Source organism: Homo sapiens, chromosome 17 (genome assembly GCF_000001405.40).
Source record: "Homo sapiens chromosome 17, GRCh38.p14 Primary Assembly".
In the NCBI taxonomy this organism is placed as follows: Eukaryota; Metazoa; Chordata; class Mammalia; order Primates; family Hominidae; genus Homo; species Homo sapiens.
In genome coordinates, this window is record NC_000017.11 from 32,008,559 (window position 1) to 32,033,227 (window position 24,669).

At 42.0% G+C, this 24,669-nt stretch overlaps 1 protein-coding gene across 2 annotated transcripts in view; it reads left to right on the forward strand.

The window, feature by feature from the left end:
- Nucleotides 1-24,669, forward strand: part of LRRC37B (leucine rich repeat containing 37B) — a 46,105-nt gene that overhangs the window by 1,176 nt on the left and 20,260 nt on the right. The window contains exons 2-8 of one of the 2 annotated variants that reach the window (NM_001321350.2): nt 9,414-9,496; nt 12,139-12,245; nt 12,835-14,267; nt 16,153-16,224; nt 19,211-19,282; nt 22,098-22,169; nt 22,820-22,900. In NM_001321350.2, coding sequence (NP_001308279.1) covers nt 12,835-14,267; nt 16,153-16,224; nt 19,211-19,282; nt 22,098-22,169; nt 22,820-22,900 — 1,730 coding nt within the window. In that variant the 5' untranslated portion in view covers nt 9,414-9,496; nt 12,139-12,245. Of the gene's footprint in view, nt 1-9,413; nt 9,497-12,138; nt 12,246-12,549; nt 14,268-16,152; nt 16,225-19,210; nt 19,283-22,097; nt 22,170-22,819; nt 22,901-24,669 lie in introns of those variants that run through there. The other variant, NM_052888.3, reaches the window with a different exon arrangement.

Consider the following 24,669-nt stretch of genomic DNA (forward strand, 5'->3'; position numbering starts at 1 on the left):
GGATTTTCATTATATATCTGTTCCTTAAAAGGGAATTAAGGATTTGTACAGATTGTGGCACACAGACACACAGAAAAACATGCCTGTGTTCACACCCCTAGCTGTGGTTTTTAAATTGTGTTAAGGAAACGGATCATTTTGGTTAGTAGGGGAACTTTACCTGGTCCTGTGTGTTTGTTTTTATTCTTCGAGTGCTGACGGGCTAGTGCAACAGTTGCTGGTAAATGGCTGATTAAAAAGCAAAGCAGAAAGCCAAACAAGATCCAACCAAATTTGGTAATTCATCCGATTCAAAATTGTTTTGGTTATTTCTAGTTTTTGGCAGCTATGAATAAAGCTGCCCCAAACATTTCCATCATGTTTTTTGTATGAACGCAGACTTGTTTCTCTTGAGTAAATACCTAGGAGTATGATTTCCGGGTTGTATATTTATAAGAAACTGCCAAAACTGTTTTCCAAAGTAGCTGTACCATTTTTCATTCTTACCTGCAAATGTATGAAGAGTTCCGGTTGCCCTGTATCCTCCCTAGCACTTGATATTGTCAGTTTTTGTTGGTTTTTTTTTTAGCCACCTTAGTAAGTATATGGTGGTAGCTCCTTGTGGTTTTAATTTGCTTGTCCCTAATGACTAATGGTTCTGAGCCTCTTTTTATGTGCATCTTTTTATTTGCCATCTGTATATCATTGTTTCTGGAAAAATACTAAAATCTTTTTTTTTTTTGAGGTAGAGTCTTGCTCTGTTGCCCAGGCTGGAGAGCAGTGGCACAGTCACCACTCACTGCAGCCTCCACCTTCTGGGCTCAAGCCATCCTCCCACCTCCCAGTCTCCCAAGTAGCTGGGATTGCAAGTGTGCACCACCATACCTGGCTAGTTTTTTGTTGGTTTGTTTGTTTTAAATAGAGATGGGGTTTTGATATGTTGCCCAGACTGATTTTGAATCCTGGGCTCAAGCGATCTGCTGCCTCGGCCTCCCAAAGTGCTGAGATGACAGGCATGAGCCGCCATGCCTGGCCAAGATACCAAAATCTTTATTTAAGATGTTTAATTGGGTTGCTTTCTTTATTGTTATTCTTCTTTTATTTTATTTTTTTAAGACAGAGTCTCGCTCTTTCACCCACGCTGGAGTGCAGTGGCATGATCTTGGCTCACTGCAGTCTGTCATTCCCCTCGACCCTGGGCTCAAGGTGATCCTCCCACCTCAGCCTCCCAAGTAGTTGGGACCACAGGTGCATGCCACCACCATGTGTGGCTAATTTTTGTATTTTTAATAGAGATGGGGTTTCGCTGTGTTGCCCAGGCTGGTCTTGAACTCCTGAGCTCAGGCAATCTGCCTGCCTTGGCCTCCCAAAGTGCTGGGATTAGAGACATGAGCCACCATGCCTGGCCAATTTCTTCTTATTGGGTAGTAAGAGTTCTTTATATATTTTGGATATAAGTGCTTTGTTAGGTTCTGTGATGCTCATATATTTTCTCCCCATCTGTGCCTTGTGTTTCATTGTCTTAGCAGTGTCTTTTTCCCAGAGCATAAGTTTTAAATTTGGATGAAGTCTGCTTTACCACATTTTTTCTTTTACAGATTTGTTGTTCATCTAACAACTCTGCCTAACCCAGATCTTGCCAGACTTTTTCTGTAAAAGGTCAGATAGTAAATATTCAGCCTTGCTGTCCCTGTTGCAGCTCTGCCATTGTAGCAATGAAAGCAGTCGTAGACAATATGTAATGTCTATAGAATGAGAATAGCTGTTCCGATAAAACTTTATGAACACTGCAGTTTGAATTTCACATAATTTACAAATTATCAATTATATTGTTATTCTTTTGATTATTACAAAAACGGGTAGTGGATTGGCCATGGTTTGCTGATTCCTGGCCTGACCAACCCAAGTTCACAAAGATTTTCCTCTTTGATTTTGTTGTGGTCGTTGTTGTTCCACACCTTCTTTTTTCACTGTTTCCTTAAGGTAGAGTGTACATATTTATAAGGGTACATGTAATATTTTGATAGATTCATACAATGTGTAATGATCAAATCAGGTTAATTAGGGTATCCATCATCTCAGATGTTTATCCTTTTTTTTGTATTGGGAAGATAACAAATGTTCTAGCTATTTTAAAATATACACTAAGTTATTGTTGACTCTAGTTACCCTACTGTGCAAACAAAAACTAAAACTTATTCCTTCTATCTGACTGTGCTTTTATGCCCATCAATCAACTTGTCTTCATCCCTACCTGCTTCCCAGCCCCCAGTAACCATCATTCTACTGCCTATCTCCATGAAATCAACTTCTTAATCTCTCACATATGAATGAGAATATGCGATACTTGTCTTTCTGTCCTTGGCCTATTTCACTTAACATAATGTCCTCCAGTTCTATCCATGTTGCTGCAAATAGGTTTTATTTTCCAAACCTCTAGCTTTATAGATGAAGGATTTCACTTTTTTTTTTTTTTTGAGATGGAGTCTTGCTCTGTCACCTAGGCTGGAGTGCAGTGGCACAATCTCGGCTCACTGCAACCTCCACCTCCTGGGTTCAAGCGATTCTCCTGCCTCAGCCTCCCAAGTAGCTGGGACTACAGGCACCCGCCACCACGCCCCGCTGATTTTTGTATTTTTAGAAGAGACGGGGTTTCACTATGTTAGCCAGTCAGTTCTCGAACCCCTGACCTCGTGATCCGCCTGCCTCAGCCTCCCAAAGTGCTGGGATTACAGGTGTGAGCCACCATGCCCGGCCCGGATTTCACTTTTTTAATGGCTGAATAATATCCTATCGTGCATATATACCTCATTTTCTTTGATTTTTCTTTCTTTCTTTTCAAATAGAGATGAGGTCTCACTATATTGCCCAGGCTGGTCTTGAACTTTAGGGCTCAAGCAATCTTCCTGCCTTGGCCTCCCAAAGTGCTGGGATTCCAGGCTAAACCATTGTGCTCCTTTATGCATTTTTCTTTTTTTAAGACAGAATCTAGCTCCGTTGCCCAGAATGGAGTGCAGTGGCACGATCTTGGCTCACTGCAGCCTCCACCTCCTGGGTTGAAATGATTCTCGTGCCTCAGCCTCCCGAGTAGCTGGGATTACAGGCACCCACCACCACGCCCAGCTAATTTTGGATTTTTAGTAGAGATGGGGTTTCACCATGTTGGCCAGGCTGGTCTCAAACTCCTGACCTCAGGTGTTTCACCTGCCTCGGCCTCCCAAAGTGCTGGGATTACAGGCATGAGCCACCGCGCCCAGCCCCTTTGTGCACTTTTAAAAACATATCTTAGAATTTGTGATATATGTTTTATTTTCATTTTCATTTGGTTCACAATATAGTAAAATTTCTATTATGACTTACTCTTTGACCCATGATTTGTTTTAAAACGTATTGTTTAATTTTCAAACATTTAGGGATTTCCCAGATATCTTTGTTGTTGGTTTCTAATTTGATTCCATTATGGTTAGAGACCATACTTGGTATGATGAATTAAAAAAAAAAATTTAGAGGTTTGTATATGGCCTGAAACATTTTTTAGGTGAGTGTTCAGTTTGTAATAGGAAAGATGTGTCCTGCTGCCGTTAGGTAAAGTGTTTCATAAGTAATAATTAGGTCAAGTTGGTTGATCGTGTTAAGGTCTGCTCTATCCTTGCTGATTTCCTGTCTGCTTGTTCTAGTGATTACTGAGAAAGGAGTGTTGAAGTCTACAACGATTGTTATGGGTTTGTTCTCTTTCTCCTTGAAATTCTGTCTGTTTATGCGTCCTGTATTTTGAGGCCCTGTTGTTAGATGCAGAAACATTTACAGTTTTGTCCTCTTGATGATTATTTGACCCCTTTATCATTCTGAAATAACCTTTATTTCTGGTAATAATCATTATACTAAAAACCATTATTTGGCCAGGCATGGTGGCTCACGCCTGTAATCCCAGCACTTTGGGAGGCCAAGGCGGGTGGATCACCTGAGGTCAGGAGTTCAAGACCAGACCGGCCAACATGGCGAAACCCCGTCTCTACTAAAAATAGAAAAACAGCCTGGTGTGGTGGCACACGTCTGTAGTCCCAGCTACTTAGAAGGTTGAGGCAAGAGAATCACTGGAATCCAGGTGGTGGATATTGCAGTGAGCTGAGATCACACCACTGCATCCCAGCCTGGGAAGCAGAGCAAGACTCCATCTCAAATAAATACATACATACAGGCCAGGTGCGGTGCCTCACGCCTGTAATCCCAGCACTTTGGGAGGCCGAGGAGGGTGAATCACCTGAGGTCAGGAGTTCGAGACCAACCTGGCTAAGATGGTGAAACCCCGTCCCTACTAAAAATACAAAAATGAGCCAGGCGCGGTGGCAGGCACCTGTAATCCCAACTACTTGGGAGGCTGAGGCAGGAGAATTGCTTGAAGCCGGGAGGCAGAGGTTGTAGTGAGCCGAGATCGTGCCACTGCACTCTAGCCTGGGTAACAGGGCAAGACCCCGTCTTGAAAACAGACAGACAAACAAAAAACCATTATTTAATACTAATATAAAATTAGTGTTTTATATTAGTAACATAATACTGTTTTTGACTAGTGTTAGAATGACATATCTTTCCCTACCCTTTTGCTTTTAATCTATATATCATGATATTCGTTTACTTTCAATTTATAAAAATAGAGATGGGGTTTTGCCATGTTGCCCAGGCTGGTCTTGAATTCCTGGGCTCAAGGCATCTGCCCACCTCAGCCTCCCAAAATGCTGGGATTATAGGTGTGAGCCACCATGCCTGGCCACATCATTATATTTTCAAATGGTTTCTTGTTTTTTTTATTTTTCTTTTAAATGTAATCTGACAGCATCTTTTAATTAATGTGTGTTGGACCATTTACATTTAATACGATTGATAATGACTGGATTTAGGTTTCCTATTTTATTATTTGTTTTCTGATTATCTCTTTTTTGGGGGGTTTCTTCTGTTTCTTTTTTCTGCCTACTTTTGGATTAATTGAATATTTTTTAGTGTTTTGTTTTATTAAATGGCTTTTGGTCATATCTGGGCTATGTTTTTGCTGTAGGAATTACAAAATATACACCTAACCTACCTACTTAGAGTTAGCCTTTTACCTCTAAATACAACGTCAAAGTATTGCAACCATATAGGTTTCTTTATTCTAGTCCCCCTCCCTTATAATTGTATATGTGTGTGTGTGTGTGTGTGTGTGTATCTATATACACTTTCAATGTATGTAGGTATATAGATATGTATCTATACTTTCAATGTATATCTACATGCATACATTGTATATGTATGTAGACATATATCCACATACATTGAAAGATATATATCTATATACATATACAATGCATGTATGATACCTTTGGCCACTACATCCTTCTTAAATTTCCTGTTGCCACTCATGACCCAATTTCCTTGACCAGTTATTCCTCCTTCAAACATCCCTCTTACATGTGATAGTCCTCAGCATTTAGTTTCCTCAACTTTCCCCTAATTATCAGTTGACTCAATTACCACCAAAATATCAATGACTTCTAGATCCATTTTCCTACCTAGACCTCTCTTCTAAACTCCAGTTATGTATTTCAACTGCCTATGTTGTCCCCGATAAACTCCACATTGTAGGAAATAAAAAGAAAGGAGTTACAAAAGTTAGGTTCAAAGCAAAATTTAAAAACTCCTAAATGAAACAAAGATCTAGTGATGATAAAGGCTATGGCCCACAATGAAGATATAAAAGTAATGAACCTTTCTGTAAAACATGTGTGTGATAGAGCCGGTCCCCAGCTTTAAGCCTTTCAGCGATTCAAGTAACTGCAGAACATCTTTAAAGTACTGAGAGAAATGTCAATCCAGAATTCTATATCCAGCAAAAATACCCTTCAACAATTAAGGCAAAAAGAAAAAAAAGACATTTCAGATGAAGAAAATCTAAGAGAATGTGTTGTCAGAAGTTCTGCTCTAAAATAAATGTATAAGCAGGTCTTTAGGCCAAAGGAAAATTATACCAGTGGTAATACTAGAACTTCAGAGATAAAGAAAGAGCAGCAGAAATGGTATCTGGGAAAATTTTAAAACACAAATGGTTGTTTCTCCTCTTACGCTCTTTAAAATATGTATGGTGGTTGAAAGCACAAGTTAGAACCCTGGTGAGACTTCCAATGTATGTAGATATAGATAGATAGATAGATAGATAGATACATATATCTATATACATGTAGAGGTAATAATGGTAGCTATTTTATGGAGCTGATCTGAGGATAAAATAAGATAATGCACTTTAAAGTGCTCAGCACAATGTCTGGCAAATAGCACTCTATAGGCCAGGCATGGTGGCTCACACCTGTAATCCCAGCACTTTGGGAGGCCTAGGTGGGTGGATCACTTGAGGTCAGGAATTTGAGACCAGCCTGGCCAACATGGTGAGACCCCATCTCTACAAAAAATATAAAAATTAGCCAGGTGTGGTGGTGGACTCCTGTAATCCCAGCTACTTGGGAGTGAGGCAGGCAAGTGGCTTGAACCTAGGAGGTGGAGGTTGCAGTGAGCCAAGATTGCACCACTGCACTCCAGCCTGGGCGACAGAGCGACTCTGTCTCAAAAAAAAGAAAGCACCTGTAAAAGCTAGCTGGTGATTTTTATATTATTACTGACACAGAAGATAGGGATTGGGGGCAAATGGAATGTACTCAAAGAGCACAGCCTTGTTCAGTAATAATGTTAATACCAGATTGGGACACTATTCCACATCAAAAGGTGAATCCTTGTAACATTTGACAAGTAAGTTTCATAATTTTTAAAAGATTTCAATGCATCACAGATTATTCCTTCTTGATATGCCATTCATGGTTTATAGATGTGTAATAGCAGATTAAATAATTAGATTTTATTAGTTCTGGAGTATTAACTTCTGCTGGAAATGAACTTCCCCCTTCCCTATACCAATATTGAGTGAGGCCTCTTTTCTCAGATACCAATTAGAAACAAGGGGACAATGTTACACTTTTTCCTTCTAGAAACATACATTATACAGAGAGTTGTCTTTTGAAGTCTAGAAGTCTGAAAACACTGTAATTTTTTTTAAAGAATTAATACAATAAATGTATGGGTCAACTCGGAAAAATCTACAATGGTTTCTGGGATTTAATCTTGGCATGACTTTACCTCTGCACCTCTGCCCTCGGCGGGTACTTTTGTTTATGGGTGTCATTGGTTGAACAAATATTGTTTTAGTTACTACCATAACTGAAACATGATCTGTGCTCTAAAGGAGTCAACAAATGAGCCAGGGGGGCATGAGTAATTGCCTGTAATATAATCGTGCTCACGCTGTCATGGAGGACCGTACAAAGTGTCAGAAGCACAGCGCCAGGAGGCACAGCAAAGGGTAGTAGAGGTGACATTTGAGCCCGGCCTTGAAAACCGTCTAGGATTTCTCAGAATTTCAGCAAAGTAAGATAATTTCTGTCTAAAATATATAGGCAAACTTTTTATTAAAAATATGAGAAATTAATTAAATAACAGATTATGACCACAATGCAGATTTAAAACCCAAGGCATGATGAGTGCCGTTGACTAGTTCATCCAAACAGTTCAGAGAAGAGAACATCCATGTAGATCCTTCTTGTGTTACAGAATACAAAGGAACAGAAAATTTTGCCTCAGTAACTGCCAGGTCATTCTAATTAAAGTACCTATACATTGTAATATAATTCCTCCATTAAGGTAATAACCGATCAGGTGGTCCAGAGTCTGTGTCATTCAGTCAAGAAATTCACTCCCTTAACCTGGGGCTGTGCTGGAAATTCATTGACAAATTTTGGTCTTTGGTTCTCCGTTTTTCTTCAGAATTCATGCAGACCACTTGACTTCCTTAGCATTTTCTTTTGTAGGCGTATATTAATGTCCGTGGTTAAGCTTTGGCTTCCGTTTGCATCAATCCTGTTGTAATCGTGCCTCCTGAGGCATCTTTTTGCTTCCCTTGCATGAGTTTCCAAAATCCTACTTTCCACTTGGTAAGGGGAGTATCCATTTTCTTGAACGCAGTGGTTTTCAAACTTGCCTGCACATCAGAATTATTTGGGGAGAAGGATAAAAATACAGACTACTGAGCTTCACCTGGGATTCTGTAAATTTGGGTTGCATTTGAGATGACTTTTAACAATTTACCAGATGATTTTTGCTGCACCTCCACTTCAGTTTTAGGAAGGACTGTTTCAAGGCAGCTTTTCAAACTTTCATGACCATAGAAATCACCTGAAGATTGTGAGAAACTGCAGATCCTAATTTAGTAGGCCTGGGTTTAGGCCTGTGATTCTGAATTTCTCTCAAATGTGATAGTATCAATCCCTTGTTGAGTAGCAAGGTTGTTTCTTGTTTTTTTCTTTTGTTTCCAGGATCTTCATGACATTCAATGAGTAGCAAAATTTGAAGATAACTTCTGGAATTTCATCTAATGTGTACTCATCTGGATCTTAGGGGAAATAACCTATCAGGTTATAGGGAAGGAGGACCTTTAATAACCAAGCTAAATGTGTGGGCTGTTTACCTCTCCCTCTTATGCAAAGGTATCCCTTGCACACACTGAAAACTTCATAGACCAAAAGCATTATAGCTCTAGTTTGCCTTGAAGGAAGTTGTATTGTCTGTAGAGCATGTGGGCCATTTTCTGCCAATAAAATGTTCAAATGTTCTCTCTCTCCGAAGCTTTGTTCACTGTGTCTGGTGGAATTTTGGTTCTCAGGGAGTAGATGATACCTAGCCATGCTTCTAATGTGAAGTGTCTACCAGCCCATGGTCTCTATTTTGGATTTGAACTTACTTCGACCCCCCACCTGATGCCTTACCATTTAATCATATTGTGATTGAACATTTTTGTGTCCACATTTTTCATTTCTTATGTTATTATTCCTTAGTTCTTATCTGTAAGATCATAAAGTCCTTTGAACCAAACACAGTTGATATTTCATACATACGTTAAAAACTGAGCTGTGAGACCGGACATGGTGACCCACGCCTGAAATCTCAGCAATTGGGGAGGCCAAGACAGAAGGATCACTTCAAGCTAGGAGTTCGAGACCAGCCTGGGCAACAAAGCAGGACCATGTCTCTAAAAAAGAGAATTAGCCGGGCAGAGGGGAGTAGTCCCTGCTACTCTGGAGGCTGAGGCAAGAAGATCACTTGAGCCCAGGAATTCCAGGCTGCAGTGAGCTATGATAGTGCCACTGCACTTCAGCCTGGGTGACAGAGTGAGACCCAGTCTCCAAAAAAAACAGAAAACAAACAAAAAAACGAAGCATATGATGAGGAAACTTCCAGGAAAATGCTCTTATTTTCTGCTTTTAGAAACCAAAAGAATGTCTCATTGTGGGGTGCTACCATTATATTCAGGAAGTTTTAGAATGAAAAAGATTCTGAATTGATACTTGCTTACTTTATTTCAGAAAGTGGTAAAATAGCTGTGGAGTGCAGACCCAGTGAAGAGATTGTAGATGTCAGATGGGAAGAACTACACAGTTTAATTCAAGTATGTGGAGATAAAAACTCAAAGGTAACATGGCTGGGCGCAGTGGCTCACACCTGTAATGCCAGTGCTTTGGGAGGCCAAGGCGGGTGGATCACCTAAGGTTGGGAGTTCAAGACCAGCCTGACCAACATGGGGGAAACGGTGGTGCATGCATCCCAGCTACTCTGGAGGCTGAGGCAGGAGAATCGCTTGAACCAAGGAGGTGGAGGTTGTGGTGAGCCAAGATCATGTCATTGCACTCCAGCCTGGGCGACAAGAGCGAAACTCCATCTCAAAAAACAAACAAAACAAAACTCAAGGGTCAGATAACATAGCCAGTGTAACCATAATTCAAAACAAGCAGCAGAATTTGGAGGATAATTTGTTTCATTCTCAGGAAAATGTGAAACTCTGAAACTGCTTTTTGAGTGCAGGGTATTTCTGGGGCTTTTCCTAAAGTCTTGACCCTTGGTTCTGACCCCTTATTTGAAGTTTGGAGAGCAAAACTGAGGACTGTATTACTACAGTTGTGGACACAGGAGAGGGGTTAGTCTCCCCCGGCCCCAGGAGTAAGGGATGCTGGGCTGCTTGAACACAGGCCTTTTTAGAACTCCCTTCAAACAAGATACCAGAGATGTGGGGGGAATGTAACTGGCCTTAAGACTGATTGTGCTACAGCTTTCAAAAACTATAATGCCTTTCAAATGTGGCTTACTGCTTGGATCTCATTATCTCCCGTATACCTTGGGTGGACTATTTTGCTGAAGATCTTTCTGTCAATCATTTACAATCACGTGCTGCAAAATGAGGTTTCGGTCAACAATAGACCACATACATGATGGTGGTTCCATAGGAGTATAAAGGAGCTCTCCCTACACAGGCATACCATTTTTATCTTTGTTGTTGTTGTTGTTATGGAGTCTCACTCTGTGGCCCAGGCTGGAGTGCGATGGCACGATCTCAGCTCACTGCAACCTCTACCTCCTGGGTTCAAGTGATTCTCCTACCTCAGCCTCCTGAGTAGCTGGGATTATAGGCACGCACCACCATACTCAGCTGATTTTTGTATTTTTAGGAGAGACTGTTTTTCGCCATGTTGGCCAGACTGGTCTCGAACTCCTGACCTCAGGTGATCCACCCACCTCTGCATCCCAAAGTGCTGGGATTACAGGTGCGAGCCGCTGCGCCTGGGCCCCATTGTTATCATTTATACAGTATTTTAACTACACCTTTTCCATGTTTATATACACAAATACCTGCCATTGTGTTACAGTTGCCTTTAATATTCAGTACAGTAACATACAGTACAGGTTTGTAGCCTAGGCTATACCGCATAGCCTAGGTATGCTGTAGGCTACACCACCTATGTTTGTGTAAGTATACACTATGATGTTAGCACAATGGTGAAATCACCTGACACATTTCTCAAGCTCTTCACATGGCAAGCAATGCATGACTGCATATGAAAGCTCTTAAATAGGGATTAAATTTCTAAATTAATCTCAAAAGAAAACAGTAATTATTTACTATTTATGGATTTTTTTTTAAAAAGGGAGCAAAAGTTTCATTTCAATGGGAACTTAATTTGGGGCTAGAGTGTTTTATTTAACTTTCACTCCAAAGTTGCAAAGTGTTTTGAAGTTTTTCCCTGTAAAATAATTATTTTAATTCAATTTAAATCAAACCCACCAAGGAAACTTCCAGCTTTAAGAAGTCTAGCTTCCTGTGAAATGTGAGAGGAAGTTAGCACTGATTTCAGAAATCTGATTATAACAATAGATCCATCCCTAAATGAGGCGAATCTTGGAATCCCTTCAATTTTATTTTATTTTTTTGAGACGGAGTTTCTCTCTTGTTGCCCAGGCTGGAGGGCAATGTTGCGATCTCGGCTCACTGCAACCTCTGCCTCCCAGATTCAAGGGATTCTCCTGCCTCCTGAGTAGCTGGGATTACAGGCATGCACCACCACGCCTGGCTAATTTTGTATTTTTAGTAGAGACGGAGTTTCAGCATGTTGATCAGGCTGGTCTGGAACTTCTGACCTCAGTGATCCACCCACCTCGGCCTCCCAGAGTTCTGGGATTATGGGTGTGAGCCACTGTGCACAGCCCCCCTTCAATTTTAAAACCATCACTATGCACCCCGTGCCTGTGCTAGGCACTGGAAGAAGATGAAGCTCCTTCTTGGGGTTTACATGCTGATAATTGTGCCAGACAGTAATAAAATAGGTAAGGGCTGTGGGGGAAGTCAGCTGGGTTCTAGTTATAGTCGCATTTCAGGAAATGATTTAACATGCTGACTTTAACAACCTAAGCCTCTTCTCCATGTGTGCACACAGGGTAGATCTCTGAAGGGTGGCGCTGTAACTTCGAGGGTAATGGCTGTGTTGAGTTAAGGCAGGATGACAGTTCAGCCTCCTCCCAGGCTGGTGCAAAGGGCTGTTCCCTCGGATTGAAGCCTTCTCTCCCAGACTGAATTGCCCACCCCCAACACCCCTCCTACAGAAAATCTGGAGTCCTCGCTTATTCCCTGGCAGCCCCTACCTAATAGGGTGGTGAATTAATTATCAAACATGCGACAGTTTAGCGAAAACGGCAACATTTTGGAATAAATGACTGTAACGCGCGTCCTGCCTGCCACCCTAACTGGCGCCCATTTTGCAGGTCAGTTGCTCTCCCCTGAAGGAAGAGTATTCTCGGATTTCACCTCAGAGGAGGAAGAATTCAGGCTGCCAGAACTGGACTAGCACTTCTGAAGATCCCAAGGCCAGGTCCCGTGACTTCCTTGGGAAGCTCTGCCGTGCCCCCACCCCACCCCACCCCACCACAGCAGGCCGCTGGAGTCCTGGGACCACCCCGGTCTGCGGCCCAAATCCTTCCTCACTAAGGGGAGGGGAGGGGTGTTCCGGCCTGGCGGGGTGGGAAGGGGCGCTTGGGCGGGATTGTGACATAAGGTTGCCCTGGTAACATGGAACAGATCTGGACCCAAGCCTAATAAAGGTGACATAAATAAAGGTGTCATAAAGACAGGGCATGGCACACGCTTATAAGGGGCATGAGCATCTCAGGGCTGCCAGAATGGCTTTTGCTGAGTGCATAGCACCAGCGTGTGTCATGTCTTGGCTGCGTTTCTGGGGCCCATGGCCCCTCCTTACGTGGCAACTATTGTCTTTACTAGTCAAGGAGGCTCAGCCTCTGGTGTGGGTCAAGGACCCGCTCCAGCTGACCTCTAACCCCCTGGGGCCACCTGAGCCCTGGTCTTCCCGCTCCTCCCATCTCCCATGGGAATCTCCCCATGCACCTGCTCCCCCAGCAGCCCCGGGGGACTTTGATTACCTGGGGCCCTCTGCTTCTTCGCAGATGTCAGCCCTGCCTCAGGAACCAACTGAAAATTTGGCTCCATTCCTGAAGGAATTGGATTCAGCTGGAGAGCTGCCCCTGGGGCCAGAGCCGTTCTTGGCTGCACATCAGGACTTAAATGACAAGCGGACTCCAGAAGAAAGGCTCCCAGAGGTGGTTCCGCTTCTCAACCGGGATCAGAACCAGGCCCTAGTTCAGCTTCCTCGCCTCAAGTGGGTTCAAACTACAGATCTAGATCGGGCTGCAGGTCATCAGGCAGATGAAATACTTGTTCCACTAGACAGTAAGGTTTCAAGACCAACCAAATTTGTTGTTTCGCCCAAGAACCTGAAGAAAGATCTAGCTGAACGTTGGAGCCTTCCTGAGATTGTTGGGATTCCACACCAATTATCCAAACCTCAGCGTCAGAAACAGACTTTGCCAGATGATTATTTGAGTATGGACACACTGTATCCCGGCAGCCTACCTCCAGAACTCCGGGTGAACGCAGATGAGCCTCCAGGGCCTCCTGAGCAAGTTGGACTTTCTCAATTCCATCTAGAGCCCAAAAGTCAAAATCCAGAGACCCTTGAAGACATCCAGTCCTCTTCACTCCAGGAAGAAGCCCCAGCGCAGCTTCTACAGCTCCCTCAGGAGGTAGAACCTTCAACCCAGCAGGAGGCCCCAGCTCTGCCTCCAGAGTCCTCTATGGAGAGTCTAGCTCAAACTCCACTGAATCATGAAGTGACAGTTCAACCTCCAGGTGAGGATCAAGCTCATTATAATTTGCCCAAGTTTACAGTCAAACCTGCAGATGTGGAGGTTACCATGACTTCAGAGCCTAAAAATGAGACAGAATCTACCCAAGCCCAGCAGGAGGCCCCAATTCAGCCTCCCGAGGAGGCGGAACCTTCTTCTACAGCCCTGAGGACTACAGATCCTCCTCCAGAACACCCTGAGGTGACACTTCCACCTTCAGACAAGGGTCAGGCTCAGCATTCACACCTGACTGAAGCCACAGTTCAACCTCTGGACCTGGAGCTTAGCATAACTACAGAGCCTACTACAGAGGTTAAACCGTCTCCAACCACGGAGGAAACCTCAGCTCAGCCTCCAGACCCGGGGCTTGCCATAACTCCAGAACCCACTACAGAGATTGGACATTCCACAGCCCTGGAGAAGACTAGAGCTCCTCATCCAGACCAGGTTCAGACTCTGCATCGAAGCCTGACTGAAGTCACAGGTCCACCTACAAAGTTAGAATCTTCGCAGGATTCATTGGTGCAGTCTGAAACTGCACCAGAGGAACAGAAGGCCTCCACAAGCACCAACATATGTGAGCTCTGCACCTGCGGAGATGAGACTCTGTCATGTGTTGGTCTCAGCCCAAAGCAGAGGCTCCGCCAAGTGCCTGTGCCAGAGCCCGACACCTACAATGGCATCTTCACCACCTTGTAAGAATCACCTTTCCTCAATCATCCTCTGTGTCTTGCCTGACATGGCAGCCTTTTCCTGGAGGCCTTCCTGGGCCTTCTTTATCTCCCCAAGCCATACTGACAAGTGACTTTCTGCTTTCACCTTTGCCTGTCAATTCTCCCTTCTCCTCATTCTCCTTTAATGTTAGACCCATTCTCCAGTCTTTTACTTTTTCTCCAGTCTTTTACTCTTACTCGTTTTCTTATCCGTTCTTATTTACCCCATCACATCATTGCTTAACCGCTGCTCTGCTCCTATTTTCGCTTCACCCTCTTTTTTTTTTTTTTTTTTGAGACAGAGTTTTGCTCTTGTTGCACAGGCTGGAGTGCAATGGCATGGTCTTGGCTCACCGCAACCTCCGTCTCCCGGGTTCAAGTGATTCTCCTGCCTCAGCCTCCTGAGTTGCTGAGATTACAGGCATGCGCCACCACACCTGGCTAATTTTTTGTGTTTTTAGTAGAGACGGGGTTTCTCCATGTTGGTCAGGCTGGTCTTGAACTCCTGACCTCAGGCGATCCACCCACTTTAGCCTCCCAAAGTGCTGGGATTACAGGCGTGAGCCACCGCGCCTGGCCCGCTTCACCCTCTTTACAGCAGCCTGTCACTCTCCCAATCTCAGTGATGATGCTCTAAGTGGTTAAGAGTTGATTCTGGAGCCAGGCTGCCTGGGTTTGAACCCAGGTCTGTTTATTAGCTTGGTGATCCAGAGCAAGTTATTCTGCTCTGTGACTCAATTTCCTCCTTTTAAACTGGGGATTATGCTAGTTACCATTTCATAGGATTGTTGTGAAATTTAGGTGAGTGAATACATGGAACACTTCATCAGTGCCTAGCATATGTAGGAGTGTTGGCTGTTAACATGATTACTCTGTCCTTTAGTTATGTCCAGAACTCCTCTTTGTCCCTGGCTTTTTATATGTAGCACTCATTTTGTGTCAAACCCAGGACCAAGTATGCTATTGTCCGCAGAACATTAAAATGATAGGAGGGAAGAGAGAGAATACGCATAAAAAGGGCGGTGTATATAATTAATTCCTGAAAGATAATGCATACCATCGGTGCTAGAATTTACCAGAATCTGTGGTCCTTGAGGTGTGGAGATCAGGGAAAGCTACATGGATAAGCTAAAAGTTTACTTGGGTCTTAAAGAGTACACAATGAGGTATGGAAAGCCATTGAAAGTTTCCAAGCAAGAGAGATTAAATGATTAAAACAGGAAGATTATTTTATTTTATTTTGTTTTTTTTGCTTTATGTTCAAGTATAGACATGCAAAGGATTATTTTAGAATCCATATGTAGAGTGCCCAAAAGGAAAAGCTTATTTCAGGGAGACAAAATAGAAAGGTCTAGCAAAATGTAGGAGTAAAGTGTGAAGGGGCTAAATCAGATCAGTTGTAATAAGAGTGGAAAGAAAAAGCCTAGGATGTTTCAAGAGAGGGCAAAGCTTTGGTGTTGCCTGGCATGGGGTTTCTTTCTACTTATTTATCGATAAAGATAAGCTTATGCCCATTTTTCTGTTGAATTATTTACCATTTTTGTGTTGATTTGTAGGAGTTTGTTTAGACACATAAGTGCTTTTGGATAAAATACTTACATTCAAAGTAATTAACTGGCATCGTCTGTCCAAGAGATGGGATGGATAGGAAGTTAAGCTTCCGGGAGATGCCTCATCATTTGTGCCAGTGGCCCCGCATTATTTCTTGATGAAGTGTGCAAACTGGGAAGCTGATAGCTCTGGAAATGAGAAAGCAGGTGTTATTTTCTGTTTCCGAATATCCCCGACAAGGTTGCCATGATTCTTTTATTTATCCTGTTCATTCTTTGCGTGCCTATTCAAGGATATAAACTGTCTTTCTTTGCAGAAATTTCCAAGGAAACTATATTTCATACCTTGATGGAAATGTATGGAAAGCATACAGTTGGACCGAGAAACTGTGAGTATATTCTCTCCAAATATGACAAAAAACTAACTGCATTGTAAGATCCTTCTTGGTCCAGAATTTTGAGGTCCATACCTCTGAGAAAAGATATTTCCCCTCCATACCCCAAATCAGCCTCTGTGGATTGCAATCCTATGGTTATTTTAAAATTAAATTTGGTAGGCTCTCTCTAAAATAAGAAGCAATTTAAATTTATTTTTTATCATACAAATAATACATGGTTATATTCTTTTTTTTCCTCGTTTTTTTTTTTTTTTTTTTTTTCAGAGACAAGGTCTTACTTTGTCCCCTGGGCTGGAGTGCAGTGGCATAATCACATCTCACTGCAGCCTTCACCTCCCAGGCACAAGTGATCCTCCCATCTCAGCCTCCCAAGCAGCTGGGACCACAGGTGCATGCCACCGCGCCCACCTAATTTTGTATTTTTTGTAGAGACGGGCTCTTCCTATGCTGCTTAGGCTGGTCTTGAGCTCCTGGGCTCAAGTGATCCTCCCACCTTGGCCTCCTAAAGTGCTCATATTATAGGCATGAGCCACCACCCCCAGCCCATGATTCTATTTTTAATGTATAAAAATGCAATAACAGGTATAACAAAAACCCTCCTTGTGCCCTACTCCCTCATCCCTGAGGTAATGCTACTGTGTGTTTAGTATACATGCTTCCAGACTTTTCCCCATTTACCTACATACATATTTACATAAAGCAAAATAGATTTGTTGTGTGGTTTTTAAAATCTTTTTTCTTTTCATAAAGGGTAACATCTTGCAACTTGATTCTTTCACTTCATGGTATCACTTATATGATATTCTTTCACTTCATAATTTCTTTCCTTCCTAGGACTTAGAGGGTCACCCCATTCATTTAAACTCCTGCATAATCCATAGTATGGATGCATCATAGTTTATTTAATAATTTCCCCATTGATGAATGTTGAGCTTATGCTTAGTGGGCAAGTATTCCTGTAGCATAGATATCTAGAAATGGAAGAGTTGGGGTGAAGACTATGTAGATATAAAATTTTAATTGTCCTCAAAAATGTTGTGCCAACTGACTATATTGTCAGCAGAATATGACAGCATTCATTTCCCCACACCTTTTCACTGTTGGGAATTTGCCAGCTTTTTGTTGAAGTTATGGATGAATAAAAGGGATTCCATCCAAATTTGAATTTTTCTGATCACTCATGAATTTAATTAAATATCTTTATATGTTTATTGAACATTTGTGTTTCTTCTCTGAGTTTTCTGTCCTTTGTTCATTTTCCTGTTGAATTGTTTTATCGTTTTCTTCCTGATTTATAGAAGGAATTAGTTGAGACACATAAATGATTTTGGAAAAAATGCTTACATTCAAAGTAACATTTTTCACAACAGTTTGTGTCACATCATTAGTTTGACTTATATAGACAAGACATACATGAGTTCTAAATTAAAAATCAAACACATGCCATGTGCAGTGGCTCACGCCTGTAACCCCAGCACCTCGGGAGTTCGAGGCAGGTGGATCACCTGAAGTCGGGAGTTTGAGACCAGCCTGGCCAATATGGTGAAACCCCATCTCTACTGAAAATACAGAAATTAGCCAGGCATGGTGGTGGGTGCCTATAATCCCATCTACTTGGGAAGCTGAGGCAGGAGAATTGCTTTATTTATTTTTCGAGATGGAATTTTGTTCTTGTTGCCCAGGCTGGAGTTCACTGGTGCGATCTTGGCTCACTGCAAGTTCCACCTCCCGGGTTCAAGGGATTCTCCTGCCTCAGCCTCCTGGGTAGCTGGAATTACAGGTGCCCGCCACCATGCCCAGCTAATTTTTCTATTTTGAGTAGAGACAGAGTTTCACCATGTTGGACGGGCTGGTCTCGAACTCATGATCTCAGGTGATTCATGTGCCTTGGCTTTCCAGAATGCTGGGATTACAGGCATGAGCCACCAGGCCAGGCCAGGACTACATTTTAAAAGCAAGAAAATCATTACAAAAGTCAGGGTAGTGGTTACCTATTAGGGTTAGAGAGAGGAATATGATTGGAAAGGGGCACACTGGGGCTTCTGGGATGCTAGCAATAATCTTTTGTAACAATGTTTACATGGGTATCTGCTTTATAATTATTAAACTGAATATTTGGCCAGGTGAGGTGGCTCATGTCTGCAATCCCAACACTTTGGGAGGCAGAGACAGGAGGATCACTTGAGCCAGGAGTCTGAGACCAGTGTGGGTAACAGAATGGACCCTGTCTCAGAAATTAAATTAAATTAAATTAAATTAAATATAAACAACATTTATGTTATGTGCACTTTACGCACATTGTAGTTCTCAAATTTTTTTGATGGGGGAAAAATGTTGAATGGCTTCACTTGCAGCCCTGACATGGTCCCATGTGGGGCTTTTGTAATAAGGTTTGGGAGAAGAGAGGAGGAAATGGAGGTTCTGCAGATCTTGGTGCCACCCAGAGATGGATTCTGAAAGGTATATTATGATCTAGAGAGGAGTCATTAAAGATACAATTTGGTGGGAAGAGTGGAGCAGTGTGCTTGTGTGTGTGTGCTTGCACGTGTGTGCTTGCTTGTGTGTGTGTGCTTGTGTGTGTGCTTGTGTGTGTGTGCTTGCATGTGTGTGTGTGCTTGCAAGTGTGTGTGCGTGCTTGCCTGTGTGTGTGTGCTTGCCTGTGTGTGTGTGTGCTTGCCTGTGTGTGTGCTTGTGTGTGGGTGTGCTTGTGTGTGTGTGCTTGCCTGTGTGTGTGCTTGTGTGTGTGTGTGTGCCTGCAAATGTGTGTGTGCGCTTGCCTGTGTGTGTGTGGTGGTGGTGGTGGAGAGGGATGAACACAAAAAGGAAAATGGAAGAAAAGGTTTGAACGAAAGCAGAGCAGATCCCACCATCTTGAAATGACCATGACCCAGCTTTCCTCCACATGCAGGAGATAGTCCTGTGTAGCAAATAGTTGTAGTTTGCATTTTAACCTAGAAATAACTTTTTCATTTTCCAGAATTCTCAGTGAAAATTATTTGACTGAATTACCTAAGGATTCATTTGAAGGCCTGCTATACCTCCAGTATTTGTAAGTTAGTTAATCATATTTTTGAGTTTTTAGTCATATTATCTTTAAAATGAATAAGAGGTTCAAATTAGATAATCTCTAAGATTTCTTCCAGCAATAAAATTCTGCAATTCTGTAAGTTTGTATAGGGTCTCAGCCCATCTCTAGCATTAGCTACATCCTATGCATTTTCAGTTTTTAAATTGTATAGACAAAATACAGACAGAAAAAATTTCACATGGTAAGAAGATCTGAGCAGTGACTGACACCCATATGAACCTTGTTTTATAAGGGTTTACATACCATCTTCTTCTATTCAGTCTACAGCCAGTAGATCAAATCTAACCTAAGGTCTATTTTTTAATAGCCTATTAAGAATGGTTTTTGCATTTCTAAAGGACTGTGAAAGAAAAAAGAAAGAGAAATATGCGAGAGAGATCATATGTGGCCCACAGAGCCTTAAAATATTTACTGTCTGACCTTCACAAAAAACGATTTGAAAAAGTTGGTTTAGTAGGATGAAAGGAATTAAAGTTAACTTCAGATTGTTGCCTAAAGGAGAAGAAAATATAGACCACCTACATTCATTTGAACATCATTAATCCAGAATTTTTTGGTAATTTAATCGCATTAAATTAACATTTAAATATTTGAAATCAGCTGAATTATAGAAATAATATTATCAAGAATATTAAGCTACCAAGAGAATAGACTAGTATTAAGGATTTCATTTCAGGAATTGTTATATTAAAACAGATGTTTAAAATGATGGTTAAGTGGTAGAGCTAGAAATGTTTACAGTAAGAAGCATATCAGAAATGCCCCTAACTCTTCACTAATTACACAGTAACTATCTCCCCAGCCCTGTTACCAAGAAAGGGATACCTGCATAGTATTTCTGTCTGTTTAGAGACAAGAAGATACTATGTTCAATTGCTATGAAAGCTTGATTCTTATCCTCTGTCCGCAGAGGTGTGTATGTCATTAATCCTTATTAGTGATGCTCTTTTGCAGACAGATTCTTTCAAATGTGAAAGGCTTAAGGAAAGTGGGTGTAAAGACCCTCAAGTGGATGCCAAAGTGCTACAGAGGCCATGAAGTAATAAAACTACATTTGCTTTAAAATAATCATTTTCCTACTACTCACTCCCCCAGCTATTCATTTATTTATTTATTTATTTTTATTTATTATTTTTTTTTGAGACGGAATCTTGCTCTGTCACCCAGGCTGGAGTGCTGTGGTGCGATCTCGGCTCACCACAAGCTCTGCCTCCCTGGTTCACTCCATTCTCCTGCCTCAACCTCCCGAGTAGCTGCAACTACAGGCACACGCCGCCATGCCCAGCTAATTTATTGTATTTTTAGTAGAGACGGGGTTTCACCTTGTTAGCCAGGATCTCAATATCCTGACCTTGTAATCCACCCGCCTCAGCCTCCCAAAGTGCTGGGATTACAGGCATGAGCCACTGCGCCCGGCCAGCTATTCATTTGTTTTACAAATATTTTAATTTACTTTATTTCCATGTGTCAGTTTTAAACATGGTGGGCAATGCAGATGATCAAGACCTAGTCCATGCTTTCAAGGAGTTTATGCTCAGAAAAAATGGGATGAACAATAACTACATTAAGAAGAAGAAATGGATGTGGGCACTAGGAGGGATAAATTGTTTCTGAAGCATAGAAGAGGGGAAAATGACTTCAGTTTGGACCCAGGAAGCTGTTACTAGAACAATCCCATTTGAATAGGACTTTGAAGGGCCATTGTGTAGCATCGGACAGACATCTTGGGGACAATATTCTAAACTTGCAAAAGGGAAATGGGAGAAGGGCAAAACACAGGAAAGTATTCGAGGAATGCCATGAGTACCTGTAGATTACAAGGAGGGAGAGTAGGAAATTGGAGCCAGATCTTCCAGGGCTTTGAATGCCAAGCTGAGGAGCCATCATGGGGAACCATGTTATCACAGCAGTGCTGTAAGATGGATCTGCATCACAGTCATTGAGAGGGCACGTTAGAACTCAGTTCTGGACTCCGCCCTCATAGTTATTGATTCAGTTGGTCTAGAGTGGGACCAAGAATTTGCATCCTCAATAATTTCCCAGGAGGTGCTGGTCTTTGCAAGCCACTTCTGGAGAGTTTATATGATGACTGTGTGGAGGATAGTTTAGGAAGGGAGAGACTAGAGATGGAGACATCAGCCAGACAACGTTACACCATCCAGGTAAAGAGGGAGGGAAAAGCCCCATCTCTGTATAACTGAAGAAACTGCTTTCATGAAATATTAAAGCAATATAAAACCAAAAATGAATTTCTATTAATATGATAGAAATTAATTGTATTAATATGATTTGAATATTAGTTCAAAGTTATGTATTAAGTAAAGGGGTAACTTCCTTTCAAATGCTGTTGAAAGGATGTCTTTTATTTCTTCTGATACTGAACTGGCTTAGGAAAACAAAGCTAAACTAGGAAGGTGTATAAATGTGAGGCTATTCGTTTTAATATTAGAAACTATATATAGAGATAAAAGCTTTGAGCTCATAATCTAGGATTTGATGAGACTACAAAAGGGCATCTAATCAAGTCTACTGCTCTCAGGAAAAATTAATTCCAAAGTCTATTAAGTTGTATATTTTGTTTATTAAAAGTATGAAGGCGAGACTCTAGGAGAGGTACAGGCAGGGTTAGGAGCTCTGGAAAGTTCAAATACAGGTCCAAATGTTTAGAGTCGAGATGAAAAATGTGTATTCAATATTATTCTAAACTCTTGCTATTATTCATACCAGTCAACACTGATAACTTATCAAGGCAATATTTTCCTTTTATTTTTCCTAGAGATTTATCCTGCAATAAAATACGATATATTGAAAGACAAACATTTGAATCACTACCATTTTTGCAGTATATGTAAGTTACAAATATAACTTTATTACATTTGGAATTTTTATAAAACTTAATTATAAACCTCTTTGCTATTCATTTTGAAATATGATTAAAATTTGACCAGTAGAAAGGTACTAAAATTATATAGCAAGTCCTTCTTGTCTCTAGCAAAGATTAGTGTGAGAATTATTACACAGATCATAGTGAATCATCAGAGAGCAGTGGTTCTCAACTGGTGTGATTTTGTACTCAGGTGACATTTGGTAATGTCCAGAGACACTTTTGCTTGACAAAACTGTGGTTGTGCTCCTGGCATCTGGTGGGCAGAGGCCAGAGATGCTGCTAAACATCCTGCAGAGTATAAGACAAACCCCCACGGCAAAGAGTTATATAGTCCAAAATGTCGATGGTACTGAAGTTGTGAAATCCTGTTCTAGAGAAATGAAGATCACTTAACACAGGTATTTACTGAGCGTTCACTGTTTTGTAGCTAATGCACCACATGTGCAATGTTAAAGTATAAACCATAAGCCAGTATCTTCCACAGTGAGATTGCCTTAGTGCACAGAGAAAAGATTGAGGTGATGTTCCATCCTATGTAAATTAGACTCACAGCAAATGATAAATGTTCTGAAATAATTTTTTTTTCCTTTGGCTTATGTCTTTTTTTGTAGAAATCTGGGCTGCAATTTAATTACAAAACTGAGCCTTGGAACATTTCAGGCCTGGCACGGAATGCAGTTTTTACACAACTTGTAAGTGAAATAGAAGATGAATACGTGTAAACGACTATTTTGTATAAAAACTCATACAATTATTGGTTAGCTGGGTATAAGCCCATTATGAACTCTGAAAAGTGTGTCTTAAGATCCATTCGTTTTTCTCAAATGGGGAAACTAAGGTACAAAGCAGCCAAGAGACTTACACAGTTTATATATGACCTGCTCTGCTTGTCCTAGTTCTGACCTATGGCATGGGCAAGAAAAGGCATCAAACAAGTGACCCTCAAATTAGCCTTGTTGCTGGGCAGGTGGCTCAGGCCTGTAATCCCAGAACTTTAGGAGCTGAGGGGGGCGGATCACCTGAGGTCAGGAGTTCAACACCAGCTTGGCCAACATAGTGAATCCCCATCCCTACTGAAAATACAAAAAAATTAGCTGGGCGTAGTGATGCAGTTTTTTGCTCCCTGGAGGACTTTGTGTTAAGCTTTCTTCCTTGCAGCTAAATGTTGCAGACATTTAAGCAGTTTGAAACTCTGCATATGAGCAGGAATCAAAGTTAAATCCAAAGTGTAGGGCTGGGCGTAGTGGCTCATGCCTATAATCCCAGCACCTTGGGAGGATCACTTGAGGTCAGGAGTTTGAGACCAGCCTGGCCAACATGGCGAAACCCCGTCTCTACTAACGATACAAAAATTAGCAGGTCGTGGTGGCAGGCGCCTGTGATCCCAGCTATCGGGAGGCTGAGGGTCGAGAATGGCTTGAACTCCAGAGGTGGAAGTTGCAGTGAGCCGAGATTGTGCCACTGCACTCCAACCTCCCCTCCAGGCTGGTCTCGAACTCCTGTGACCTCAGGTGATCTGCCCACCTTAGCCTCCCAAAGTGCTGGGGTTACAGGCGTGAGCCACCATGCCTGGCCAAAATGGTGTTTATGTTAAGCTATTGTGCAAAAAAAAATTTTGTAAAGAAAATACATCGCTCTACTTTAATTCCATATACTTTCCTGACTACTCTTCTACCGTAAGTGCAAAAATTCTATGATTTCTCTGTATAACATACCCAGCAAATCAGAGTGGGTATATTCAATGGCCTGAAGGGGACTTTAGACTCAAGGTGAAGATTCTCCTCTACATCTGACTTTAGAAAATACTTTCCACCTTTCTTGTGGTTCAGAAATCTAGTTTCACACAGTTCATTTTGAGGTAGAGGGAGGTGTTCAGGATGTGTCTGGATTAGAGCAGCAGTTTCTGCAGATGCTCCTCTCTGTCTTCATTAATTTGCTGATGCTTAACTTAGGGAAGACACACTGAGGGTCTGTTTTTCTTTTGCCCTCACACCAGAGAACAGGCTCATTAGGTCCCTCCACCAAGAGGTTTGGGTAGCATCAATACAAATGTCTTAAACTCACCACCTTTACTAAGCACTTTATAACAGTGGGAGTCCCACATCAGAATCTGGTGGCCAGGAGCGGTGGCTCATGCCTGTAATTCCAGCACTTCTGAAGGCTGAGGTGGGTGGATCACCTGAAGTCAGGAGTTCGAGACAAGCCTGACCAACATGGTGAAACCCCGTCTGTACTAAAAATACAAAAATTAGCTGGGTGTGGTGGCGGGCACATGTAATCCTAGCTACTCAGGAGGCTGAGGCAGGAGAATCACTTGAACCCAGGAGGCGGAGGTTGCAGTGAGCCAAGGTCATGCCATTGCACTCAAGCCTGGGCGACAGAGCAAGGCTCCAACAGAGATGGGGTTTTACTACGTTGGTCAGGCTGGTCTGGAACTCCTGACCTCAGATGATCCACCCGC